At 36.6% G+C, this 13,261-nt stretch overlaps 1 protein-coding gene and 1 non-coding gene across 10 annotated transcripts in view; both read left to right on the forward strand.

Annotated features, from left to right (window-relative positions):
- Positions 1–13,261, forward strand: part of MALRD1 (MAM and LDL receptor class A domain containing 1) — a 687,552-nt gene that overhangs the window by 548,995 nt on the left and 125,296 nt on the right. For all 9 annotated transcript variants that reach the window (XM_011519453.3, XM_011519455.3, XM_011519454.2 and 6 more), the window contains one exon: positions 11,856–11,981. In XM_011519453.3, coding sequence (XP_011517755.1) covers positions 11,856–11,981 — 126 coding nt within the window. The remainder of the gene's footprint in view (positions 1–11,855; positions 11,982–13,261) is intronic.
- Positions 2,326–2,542, forward strand: LOC124902595 (small nucleolar RNA U3). The gene has a single exon (XR_007062424.1). It is a non-coding gene; the product is annotated as a small nucleolar RNA U3 (small nucleolar RNA).

Consider the following 13,261-nt stretch of genomic DNA (forward strand, 5'->3'; position numbering starts at 1 on the left):
GTAAATGTCATGTCATTAAGAGTTCATGGGATAATGCATCCTAGAGATGTGGGTTTGAATTTCATCCCTGTTACTTACTATGTGTGCAGTCTTGGCAGAAGTTATTTAAGTGCTGCCAATTTCATTTTGTCATCCAGGTGTTGAATTCAATAATACCTAACTTACAAGGCTGTGATGATTTGAGCAAATGCATGTAAAATTCCAGGCTGTGTATTCAGTACCTTTGATTTTTAGTATAATTAGCCAGTGTCAGGTAGGGAAGGAAAAATGTTAGGTAAGAAGTAATTACACACATCTTAAAGTGAGTACATATCACTGTGGTGTCCAAACACCCCTAACATTTTATTATTTGTTTGCTTCCTTACTTATTTTATATTTTATATTTTATTATATACCATATACCATATTATATTTTTGGATGAGTGCTGCAGTGATAGTATTCCATAAACTACATGTTAATGACTATACTTTTTGGTATAGTAAAAGGCAGTTTGAAATGTAACTATAAGAGGGGAACATTGAATGAGGCTGGGTGCAGTGGCTCAGGCCTATTATCCCAGCACTTTGAAAGGCCGAGATCGGAGGATCCCTTGGGCCCAGGAGTTTAAGCCAGCCTGGGCAACATAGTGAGAACCCATCTATACAAAAATAGCAATAGTAATAACCAGGTGTGGTGGTGCATGACTGTAGTTCCAGCTCCTCTGGAGGCTGAGGTGGAAGGATTGCTTGGGCCCAGGAGTTTGAGGCTGCAGTGAACTATGATTGTGCCACTGTACCACTGCACCCCAGCCTGGGTGACAAAGTGAGACTCTGTCTCAAAAAGAAAAGAAAAGAAAAGAACGAAAGAAAGAGAGAAAGAGAGAAGGAAGGAAGAGGGGAAGGGAGGAAAGGAGGAAAGGAGGAAAGGAGGAAGTGGGGGAAGGAGGGAGGGACAGAGAGGAGGAAGGAAGGAAGGAAGGAAAGGAAGGAAGGAAAGATGGAAAGATGGAAGGAAGAAAGCAAGGGCTATTTTAGGGTCCTGTGTAATATGGGACCTCTAGAAATCTGGAACAATTGGAAGAAGAGTAAAGATGAATGAAAGAAAAGAGAGATGACCTTGGGATGTTTAAAGGCTTTAGCCTTAAATCAGTGAAACTCTTTTCCTGGTTCGGGCTGACAAATTGGTTTTCCAACTCCCTGTTATTTCCTACCTATATATTCTCTCTGAGATAAAGCCAACCTGTCAGGTCTTCTAATCTTTTCTTAGAAACAAGGTAAGCAAATGGAGGTGAATAGAAAAGAGAAAGCCTGCCAAATTACTTATCCCTGTTCCCATCAGAGCTCTAATGTAATTTGGCTGATAGAAATCATATTAAGTTCAATATAGCCATATGATATTTGGCTTCAAATAAGACTGCTATTTAAAGAGAAGCTTAGGAAGGTACTGTGTCCTTATAATGCTAAGCATTCATTGGAAAATTGGAGTTTGCCTAGTCCTGCGAAGTTCTGTTCCAAAAGGGAAATAAGGCCACGTTAGAAATAGACTGGGGACAAAATTCTAGAGCAAAATTATAGAATAAGAGAATTCAGTGGCCACAATTCACCAAACATTTGAAGATATAACAGACTTTGAGGGCTTTCCTATTGGTTTAGAATGTCATTTTGTAAACTCACATTCATTCATTCATTTATTCACAAACCTCATTAAGATCCTAACTGATGCCACATATTATGTTACACATTGATGAGACAGATGGATATGACACTGTCAGAGCTCAGGCTGAAGATGTGCTATACATTAGTGAAGGAGGCTAGTCAGTGAAAGTGAGGAATACTATATGAGCAATCCTGTGACAGAGACAAGCACCTCGTGTTAGAAGGCACATAGGGAACTCTCTATGGTGCTAGGGATTCTTTACATTTTCACAAGAGTAGTGATTACACAGCCAAACTTGGAAAGACAAATAGTCATTGGACGAATAAAGCAGAGATCTGGATTCAAGTGAAGTGAAGATTGTTGCAGGAGCAGAGAACAGGTCGTTAGAGTGAAGCATATTTTGTGTTGCTAGAGCAGAGCCTGTGGTTGGAAATGTAGAAAGAATCCTGGAGAGAGAAGCAGGACCCAGATCTTGCAGAATCCTCACCACCCTGCCACCATGCCAGTGCTATATAACGGTACTTAACTTGGATATGGGATGGATTGGAGTGAGGAAGAGGGAATGGTTAGGAGATGTCACAGTTCAAGTACAAAGCAATTGATTAGGTAACAGTGTAAGGTAAATATTATTAATAGACTTAAGGGATGGTCAGGTGATGAGGAAGAGAAAGGAATCAACAGTGACTTCCAAGACTGTGCTTTCAGGGATCATGTCTATAGTTTGCCACTAGAGAAGTTTTTTTGAACATGTAGTAGGGCACCAGAAGCACAAGGAAGAGGCACAGCCTTCTCTCCTGAGCATGAATCTGGCTCTTGGTCTTGCTTTGTTCCAGCTACCATTTGCCATTGATTATGTCCTTCTCTTCCTTCCAGAAAGTAAAAGGGAGAGAATGCAGTCTGAGTGGTTTTTTTAATTAAAAAAAAAAAAAAGAAGGACTTCCAAGTTTCTAATTTGGACATCAGGTCAGCTCATGTGCCATTGCTTGAGCTAGGGAAAGTAAGAGGAGAAGAACATGTTGGGGGAAGATGTGGCTTCAGTTTTAGATGTGTTGTATTTATGATACCTGAGACCCATGCACATGAAAAGGTTCAGAATGTGTTTGGAAGTGTATATATAAAGCTCAGGAGAGAGCTAAAATAACATAAGGTTACATGGCCATCAGCGTATGATTATTGAAGCTGTGGGTGTAGATGAGATCAAAGAGAGAGGATAGAGATAAAGTGGCAGGCAGAACCTGAAAGAACAGCTAAAAGACTGTTTAGAAAAAGCAGACATTGAAGACACTGAGAAGATGTGGTCCTAGACATAGCGGGGTCACAAGAGACTGAGGATCTTAAAGGCAAAAATCCTTTAGTATCAAAATATTCACAGGTTGAAATGTTTCTGAGAGATCAAATAAGAGAGGGCCTAAAAAATATAAATTGGAAAAAGCCAAAAAAGTGGTTTTTGGGATTTTGGAGAGAGAACTTTTTACGGAGTAGGAGGGCAGAATTCTGAAGCCATTCTTTTTTAAGAGCAAATGGGAAATGTCGAAGAGGGAAATCAATTGTAGATAACTCTTTCAAGAAGTTGCAATTGGAGTGGAATGCAGGAAAAAAGAATTGGTTTCTTTGTTTTCAGTGGCTTTCTCATGTTTAAATGTTGTAGGACTAAGGATTTGGAGACGTTTACAATTTTAGACAGGGAAATCGATAATAATTGATATTTACAGGCCTTTATTTTTGCAGAAATAATTTTTCTAGCATTGGAAGTGTTTAGATAAACCTGTGAGTTCAACGTTTAAGAACACTTCGTATTGAATATTGTCTTTCCACTGGAAACATTAATTTTTCATGGACTGAAGCAATATAGTTTTTATCAAACATATCCCCTTTTCGTAAAAATATAAAAGAAAAGAAAAAGAAAAAGAAAAAAGAAGCATAGTTAATTATATGGAAGAACAGCACAAAACTAGAAACACTCTTTTCACTGATATTCCTCTGATAGCCATCTTCTGTTCACCAGGAGGGTTTCAAGATTTCATCAGCTGTTGTGTCAGTCAATATCCTGGCAAGAAATAGTTATTGATATCGCATAGGTTGAAAAAATATTAATAAGGGGATTGTTTATTAGAGAAATAGTATGCATAGCAAAGCCATAAGGGATAGTAAGAGTGGGGGGTTTTATCACCTGTAGACCAAAGAGTGTGAGAGGAGGTTCAGTTGCCTGAGCCTAGAGTGAGAAGGGAGTACTTGGTAAGAGGCATGACATTTAGTTAAGGCAAGCGGTTAGTCCATGCTGATCTCAAAGAGTCTCTTCGCTCTGTATTAATCTGCTGGTGGTGATACCCATTGACCAAATCCAATCGTACACCAGAAGACTAAAAGGCTTATTAATGTATCCTTATCATCCAGCCTTCCAGGGCCCAGATGGGGAGAGAAGGTGGAGAATAGATCAGGAGAAGTACATGGAAACTATCCATCAGTGACAGAACAACTGTGAAAAACAATGGGAAGAAGTGGGTAGCTTACCTCCTTTCCAGTAGCGGTGGATGTGTCCTGTGAAGTGCATGCCACTTCTGGTGGTTTAGAATGGTCCACATTCCTAAGACTTGTAGATCCAACCTTATCATCAATATTTTTACTATTGGCCTTTAAATATGAAAGCTATGATCCCAACATCCGATAGTGATTTTGAACAACAGTGTAAAGATTATTCCTCTGCATTTACCAGCTTCATTTCTTACAACAGTGTTCCTCAGTTTCTTTGACATTAAAAATCATGGTAATTAATCTGTTTCAGGGAGATATTGGAGGACTAAGTGAAATCAATATGGTAGAGTGCATAATACACACAATAAATTATTATCCTTTCCCCATTAAATTATCTTATAGTTTCATTGAAAATTATTTAAACTGCTAAGGTATTTTAATAAGAGTACTGGTTGAATTTAAATCAAGAATAAAATAAATACCCATCCTGCTGTATGTTAGGTGTGTGCGCCCTGAAGGGCTTGTAGCCTTCATTCTCATAGCCCAAGACCATAGTTTCTCTGCCATTAGAAATATTGACCTGCTGCATATAGATTTTATTTTAGTAGAAAATGGGTATACATCCATAGTCTTACATATTCTACGTTTGAATATATTTTCCATGCAGCAACGATAATCGATTAAGAAATTTTGCTTTCAGGAAGTAGCGCCAATGAACCATTCATGAATTGTTTAAAGTATCATCAACCTGAGTGAATGAGCTATGTGGCACAAAATGCCCTGTGTTACTTAGCCTATTTTGTTAAGAAAGAATACCAATTTCTAGGATGATAGATGAAATAACTATTTTTGTTTGTTTCTTTGTTTGTTTTTGAGACAGAGTCTCACTCTTTTGCCCAGGTTGGAGTACAGTGGCACAGTTGTAAATCACTGCAGCCTTGCCCTCCCAGGCTCAAGCAATCCCCCCACCTTAGTCTCCCAAGCAGCACAGGCATGCTCCACCATGTCTGGCTAATTTTTTAAAACAAAATTTGTAGAGGTAGGGTCTTGCTAGGTGGCTCAGGCTGGTTTCAAGCTTCTGGGCTCAAATGATCCTGCCGCCTTGGTCTCTCAAAGTTTTGGGCTTACAGGTGTGAGCCACTGTGCTCAGCCAAATAAATATTTTATAGATATTAAAATATAATGTCTGAAAGAGAATGTACCAAAAAATAGATATTATTCATGGAAACATTTTGAAACCTAAGTTTTCCATGAATTTTATGTGTGAATTTTTTGGCTTAATTTTGGAATTATTCTATGTTGTACTTATATTAATAAAGAAGGAAAAATATAAAGTAAATGGCTCAGATTATTTTCCTATATTCAGTACAATGTTATTTGCTTCATGGATGCCAATAAATATTAGATGCATTCATAATTTATTTGCTACCTACTCTTAAAAGAAAATTTATAAATATTAAATATAACATTAATGCTATTTAAAATGCAACAGAAACTAATATTTTTGTTTACAAATTTCATAAAGCCAAAGTCAGTTTTTAACTATCTAAACGGTTAACTTTCTAAGAAAAAAGTAAAGCTTTTTATATTGAAACCATTTATTTTCTGATTTTTTAATGTGTTTTAACTGTATTTGTGCCAAAGTTGTGAACTTATAACACTTATAAATTAGAGCTCTTTATTGAACAGTCAACTTGAAAATAAGTTACCAGTCACAGTAGAAATTGGATGAAGAAATATGGATAAATTCCTATCTCCAATAGAGGAAGGGTTCAAAATATATGTTTTCAAGAAGATGAGTAGTATCTGCCATATTTGTATAAAAATGTTAAGTTATATTGTTTAAAACCTTGAAACTATGATCTTATCTGATCTCTCAGCTTTTTGCAATGAAAAATAATGATAAAAATATGTATGCACACAAAAATTTGTGTATATATACACAAATATATATCATAGATACATATATAGACACATATTTTTGTGTGCATACAAAATAAAATAAATAAAACAGGCATACCTTGTTTTACTGTGTATTGCTTTATTGCGCTTCACGGATGTCACATTTTTTACAAATTGGAGGTCTTCATCCTTGCATCCTGCAAGTCTATCAGTGCCAATTTTCTTTTTTTTTTTTTTTTTGTCCGTCTTTGCAGGTAGCATAGTCTTTTTTTTTTTTTTTATACTTTAAGTTCTGGGGTGCACGTGCACAACGTGCAGGTTTGTTACATATGTATACATGCGCCATGCTGGTGTGCTGCACCCATTAACTCATCATTTACATTAGGTATATCTCCTAATGCTATCCCTCCCCCCTCCCCCCACCCTATGACAGGCCCCGGTGTGTGATGTTACCCTTCCTGTGTCCAAGTGTTCTCATTGTTCAATTCCCATCTATGAGTGAGAACACGCGGTGTTTGTTTTTTTTTCCTTGCGATAGTTTGCTGAGAATGATGATTTCCAGCTTCATCCATGTCCCTGCAAAGGACATGAACTCATCATTTTTTACGGCTGCATAGTGTTCCATGGTGTATATGTGTCACATTTTCTTAATCCAGTCTATCATTGTTGGACATTTGGGTTGGTTCCAAGTCTTTGCTATTGTGAATAGTGCCACAATAAACATACGTGTGCTTGTGTCTCTATAGCAGCATGATTTATAATCCTTTGGGTATATACACAGTAATGGGATGGCTGGGTCAAATGGTATTTCTTGTTCTAGATCCTTGAGGAATCACCACACTGTCTTCCACAATGGTTGAACTAGTTGACAGTCCCACCAACAGTGTAAAAGTGTTCCTATTTCTCCACATCCTCTCCAGCACCTGTTGTTTCCTGACTTTTTAATGATCGCCATTCTAACTGGTGTGAGATGGTATCTCATTGTGGTTTTGATTTGCATTTCTCTGATGGCCAGTGATGATGAGCATTTTTTCATGTGTCTGTTGGCTGCATAAATGCCTTCTTTTGAGAAGTGTCCATTCATATCCTTTGCCCACCTGTTGATGGGGTTGTTTTTTTTCTTGTAAATTTGTTTGAGTTCATTGTAGATTCTGGATATTAGCCCTTTGTCAGATGAGTAGATTGCAAAAATTTTCTCCCATTCTGTAGGTTGCCTGTTCACTCTGATGGTAATTTCTTTTGCTGTGCAGAAGCTCTTTAGTTTAATTAGATCTCATTTGTCAATTTTGGCTTTTGTTGTCATTGCTTTTGGTGTTTTAGACATGAAGTCCTTGCCCATGCCTATGTTCTGAATGGAATTGCCTAGGTTTTCTTCTAGGGTTTTTATGATTTTAGGTCTAACATTTACGTCTTTAGTCCATCTTGAATTAATTTTTGTATAAGGTGTAAGGAAGGGATCCAGTTTCAGCTTTCTCCATATGGCTAGCCAGTTTTCCCAGCACCATTTATTAAATAGGGACTCCTTTCCTCATTTCTTGTTTTTGTCAGGTTTGTCAAAGATCAGATGGTTGTAGATGTGTGGTATTATTTCTGAGGGCTCTGTTCTGTTCCATTGGTCTATATCTCTGTTTTGGTACCAGTACTATGCTGTTTTGGTTACTATAGCCTTGTAGTATAGTTTGAAGTCAGGTAGTGTGATGCCTCCGGCTTTGTTGTTTTGGCTTAGGATTGTCTTGGCAATGCGGGCCCTTTTTTGGTTTCATATTTTCTAACAGTATATGCTCACTTCGTGTCTGTATCCCATTTTAATGTTTCTCACAATATTTCAAACTTCTTCATGACTATCATGTCTGTTATGGTGATCTGTGATCAGTGATCTTTGATGTTACTACTGTAATTGTTCTGTGGTGCCATGAACCATGCCCATATAAGATGGTAAATTTAATTGATAAATGTTGTGTATGTTCTGACTGCTCCACCAACCAGCCATTCCCCTGTTTGTCTTTTCCTCTCCTTGGGTCTCCCCATTCCCTGAGGCTGAACAATATTGCAGTTTGGCCAACTACAATAGCTTCTACGTATTCAAGTGAAAGGAGGAAATGCAGATCTCTGACTTTAAATCAAAAGCTAGAAATGATTATTAATGAGTAAGTCATGTTGAACACCAAGATAGGCTGAAAGCTGGGCCTCTTGCTCCAAACAGCCAAGTTGTGAATGTGAAGGAAAAATTCTTGAAGGCAATTAAAACACTACTCCAGTGAATACACAAATGATAGGAAAGCAAAACAGCCTTATTGTGGATATGGAGAAAGTTTTGACATATGTCTGCTGAACCCTGGAACTCAGAGGAGCAGGGTTAGAAGACAAGAATAGATTGATACCACTATTATTTAGTGCTTTTGAAATCTATCCAGACTTTCTGTCAAAATGGTGCAATGGGTTCATTATTTGACACATTCCCTCTGCTCCAGCCTAATCTATGGCAAAGTTCTAACTATCTTTAATTCTGTGAAGTCTGAGAGAGGTGAGGAAGCTTTGGAAGAAAAGCTAGAAGATAGCAGAGGTTGGTTTATGAAGTTGAAGGAAAGAAACTATCACCATAACATGAAAGTACAGGATGAATCAGCAAATGCTGAGATGGAGAAGCTGTACCAAGTTATCTAGATCTAGCTAAAATCATTGATGAATGTGGCTGCACTGAACAACGGATTTTCAGTGTCAATGAAAGAGCCTTCTATTGGAAGAAGATGCCACATAGGACTTCCACAGCTAGAGAGGAGAAGTCAATGCCTGGCTTAACTAAAAACTAAATATTTTCTAGTTATTATTTTTTTAGGCATTAGGCTGTTGCACATTTAATTGACTAAGGTATAGTGCAGACATAACATTTATATGCACTGGGAAACAAAACAATTTTATGTGACTTGCATTAATGCAACATTAGCTTTATTATGGTTATCTGGAACTGAGCCTGCCATATTGCTGAGATATACCTGTGCATACTTCTTCATTTTTAATAAACATTATCTTTAAGATTTTGCTTTAAGAGTTTATCTTATAAGAGTTTGAAGATTATTATTTCCTAGTTTACTTGGTTTGCAATGTAATTTATCTTGTCTATGTATATCCTAAAATGATTTAAACATTTGGGAAAGCTGAAGATCAGTCTTCTCCTGAAACCCTAGACAATTTCTACCATTTGATTACAGATTTATTTATTTTTTTATTATTATTTTTTTTTTTTTACAGAATCTTGCTCCATTCCCTGGCTGGAGTGCAGTGGCACGATCTTGGCTCACTGTAACCTCCACCTCCCAGGTTCAAGTGATTCTCCTTCCTCAGTCTCCCAAGTAGCTGGCACTACAGGCATGAGCCACCAATCCTGGCTATTTTTATTTTATTATTATTATTATGTTAGTAGGGAAGGGAGTTCACCATGTTGGCCAGGCTGGTCTCAAACTCCTGACCTCATGTGATCTGCCCACCTCGGCATTCCAAAGTGCTGGGATTACAGGCGTGAGCCACTGCGCCTGGACCAGCTTTGTTTTTCTTTCTTTTTTTTTTTTTTTTTTGGTTTATCTGTGCTACTTCCTTATCCAACCTCCCTAGTCAAAAGCGACCTGCTGTACTCACTGAACCAATAGAAAACTTATTGATTTTCCATCTGTAGACTTTATTCCTACTTTACTATATGGCTTTTCTCTAGAAATATTAAAATTTTAAATATATTTCAATATTCTGGTCTTGACCTTCAGCCTTTATAGATCTCCGTATGCTAAAGGAATTCTCGTTTTTATAAATGCTTATCTACAACAATGCTTTGCCTACTAAGTTTGACCTTATGGAATTTCTTTTGTTATTATTTTCAGCTGTTTATCACTCCTGTATTGTTGTTCTCTTGTCATCACCATGTATGATTCTGGTCATTCATTTTTAAATTTCTCCCCTGAACTCTACATTCTCAGTTCTAAGACACTGTGTTACATGTGGTGGAAGCTCAATATTTTTTTTGTGAATTGATATTCTAGCACCTTAGGAAGAATTGCTCAATAAAGAGTACTGCCTAAATTTTTCAGAGTCAGCGTTTTCAGTCAATGGAGATACATATTCTTAAAAACACTATTTTTTTTACGTCCAACTTTAAAATATATTTTAATGGGCCATTTTCAGAGTTAATTGTGTCAATTACCTATGATAAGTAAAATAAATTATTTGTTCTAACTCATAATTATACTTGAAGAAAAAAATAATTTATGAAAGAACTGGCAATATCTGTATAAGAACCATACATGGGGACATTTATTCTTGGGTCATTTAAATAATTTACTTTGAAAAGGTTGTAACTTCATTGTCTTTATTCATGTGCAAGGAATTTTTCAGACTAATCCTCTTTAAACTTTTAGTAGCAGGTTTGGAGTAAAATGTTCAATGAGAAGTTGTATATGATACCGTTAAGTAAATCAGAGGAAAACAAAGCTGTTCTTGTTGAACCTGGGTTAAGTGCAAGACAGTTCTGACTATCTACTGCTGCCTTTGACATATTTCTGCTGAACCCTGGTACTCAGAGGAGCAGGGTTAGAAAACAAGTATAGATCAATACCATTATTATTTAGTGCTTTTGAAATCTATCCAGACTTTCTGACAAAATGGTGCAGTAGGTTCATGCTTTGACACATTCCCTCTGCTCCACACACATCACAGTGCTAGACAGTAGAGTTATCCCATTAAACACTCTGAGAAACAAGATGAACATCACCACTGGCACAGACCAGAACCAGAGGAGAACCAGAAAAGGGATCAGGCCTGCAACCCCGGCTTCTTGGCTTCCAGGTCCTGAAGCAAGCAGGATAACAGAGGAACCATATTTCACACTGGGTGGCAGCCTGAAATGAGAAGTTCCCATTTAACTCTAACACATAAAACCAATGCCAACCATAGCCTCTTCTTTCTAGGAAGTTGTAATCCTAAAGAAAGGAAGAACATAATACAATTTTAGGATAATTATTTTAGGAAAACTGAGCTTCCTAATAGACAAATCAGATATAATTAAATTAATCACGTTGTATACAGAAAGGTAAAGTGCTTTGCAAGACTAGGTAGCCATTGAACAGGCATCAGTGCTCTTGATGGACATCAATAAGGACACTTTTCGAAACAACCAAAGTCTTATGAGTATTAGCATCTCTATGCTATTGAAATGTTTGCCTATTGAAGTCAGATCAGTGTCTGCTTGCATTTCATGCAATGCATTTGATGATATGTGTAATACTACATAATGCATGTATTAGTCAGCACAGGCTGCCGTAAGAAAATAACACCCACTGGATAGCTAAAACAACAGGAATTTATTTTCTCCCACTTCTGGAGGCTAAAAGTCCAAGATCAACGTGTAGGCAGGTTTGGTGTCTCCTAAGGCCTCTCTCCTTGGCTTACAGATGGCTGCCTTCTTGCTGTGTCTTCACGTAGCCTTTCCTGTATGTCATTGCATCCCTGATGTCTCTCTCTTCTTATAACCTTTGTTACCTTCTTAAAGCTCCTATCTGTAAATACAGTCCTGTTGCGGGTTAGGGTTTCAAGATATGAATGTTGAGGTGAGGACACAATTCAGTCCCTAAGAATGCACATCTGCGAAGTGATTTTTCAGGCAAATGTGGTTTTTCTTTCAGACATTTTTAAGTTAATCCATTTGAAATATTCTTCAAAAAGAACTGTGTTCTAAAATATCAGACTAGAAAAAATCAAGAGTAATATAATAAACTGTTTTATGTTATTTTGTTGTGAGAATTCATTGGGACAAAAAAAAATCATGCTGGCATCCCTGATCATTATTCTTTTTTTTTTGCAGCCAACAAAAGCTGTTCTAATGGAGCTCTGGTGTGTGCCTCCTCCAACAGCTGTATCCCAGCCCACCAGCGCTGTGATGGTTTTGCCGACTGCATGGATTTCCAGCTTGATGAGTCCAGCTGCTCCGGTACCCCATTTCCATTCAGATATTCTTGTGATATGAACCAGCAACTTAACCTGCAACACAATGAAAATATTAAAACTTGAGGTTCTAAACAATGGCAAGCATGGAATAATTGAATTTCTATTCTTGGTTTGGGGGCAGAAAGAATGTTGACATTAATTGCCACATGTCTAAAGTATTATAAACATATAATGGGCTCATGCTAGTTCTACACAATGTTTGATAAGAAAAGAAAAATCAAATATGTAATTTTAACACAATGTAATTTAAGATTATTAGCATTTAATAATCTCTCCTCTGAAAATTGCTTGGTTTCTATAATAAGGAAACCCTATACAATCTAGTACTATTATTTTATTTTTAAATTGTGGTCTTCCTTTGTCCACTTCTTTATAAGAGTTTTCTATTTGCATAATCTAGTTACATATTTAATAGCAAATCTATTAAACCTTAGCTTGACTTCTAAACATTTTTCTTTCTTCTGACCTTGGAACATGTATACAGCATAGGAACTGACAGTATATATCTGTCATTATACTTTTATCAAAACTGCTTTAAAATTTTCTAATTTATTGTAGCCCTTTGTTAACATCTCTCCTGAGTAGATGATTTTTTTTATTTCACATGGATGATATATAAAATAACAGATCATTAAAGGTAATATAATTTTGTCCTAACTAAAGGATAATATAAATTAATGATAGAGATATATTCAGTGAAATTTCCTAAATAAGTTGGAAATATTTTATATCAAAACTAGTTAAGAAAATACTCTGTATCTTTCAAGAGAGGAAAATATTATGAGATATATGTTGTAAGAATGATAATTGTAATCAAATCACATTGTGAAAAAGTCTTATTTTTTTATACTGCTAGAAGTGAGTACTCACAGACCACTGCATTTTATGAGTACAAAAGCAAATGAAAAAGTGACCAGATCTGGCCCCATAAAATGTGCAAAGATGGATACTCTGTCACTTTCTCTGCACTCAGAATGCATGTACTTCAGATGAGATACCAGTATTATTTTCTTTCCAGAGAGTAGGAAAGCCGTTACTGAGTAGCTCTATTCTTTGACACTATTAAGACAGTATTTATGCCAGACCCAAACTTATTTACATAAAGACAAGATTATCTTCAGCATGGTCCTATAGGAGCACAAATATAATATGTTATAATCTGTTATCTTCTTTGATATAATCTACTTTTAAAAATAGGATCAGAAAAACAGAAGACTTGTCATTCATACCCAGCCATAGACAATCTGTAGGTAGTGCTATAGA

The sequence above is a fragment of the Homo sapiens genome, chromosome 10 (genome assembly GCF_000001405.40).
Source record: "Homo sapiens chromosome 10, GRCh38.p14 Primary Assembly".
NCBI classification, from domain to species: Eukaryota; Metazoa; Chordata; class Mammalia; order Primates; family Hominidae; genus Homo; species Homo sapiens.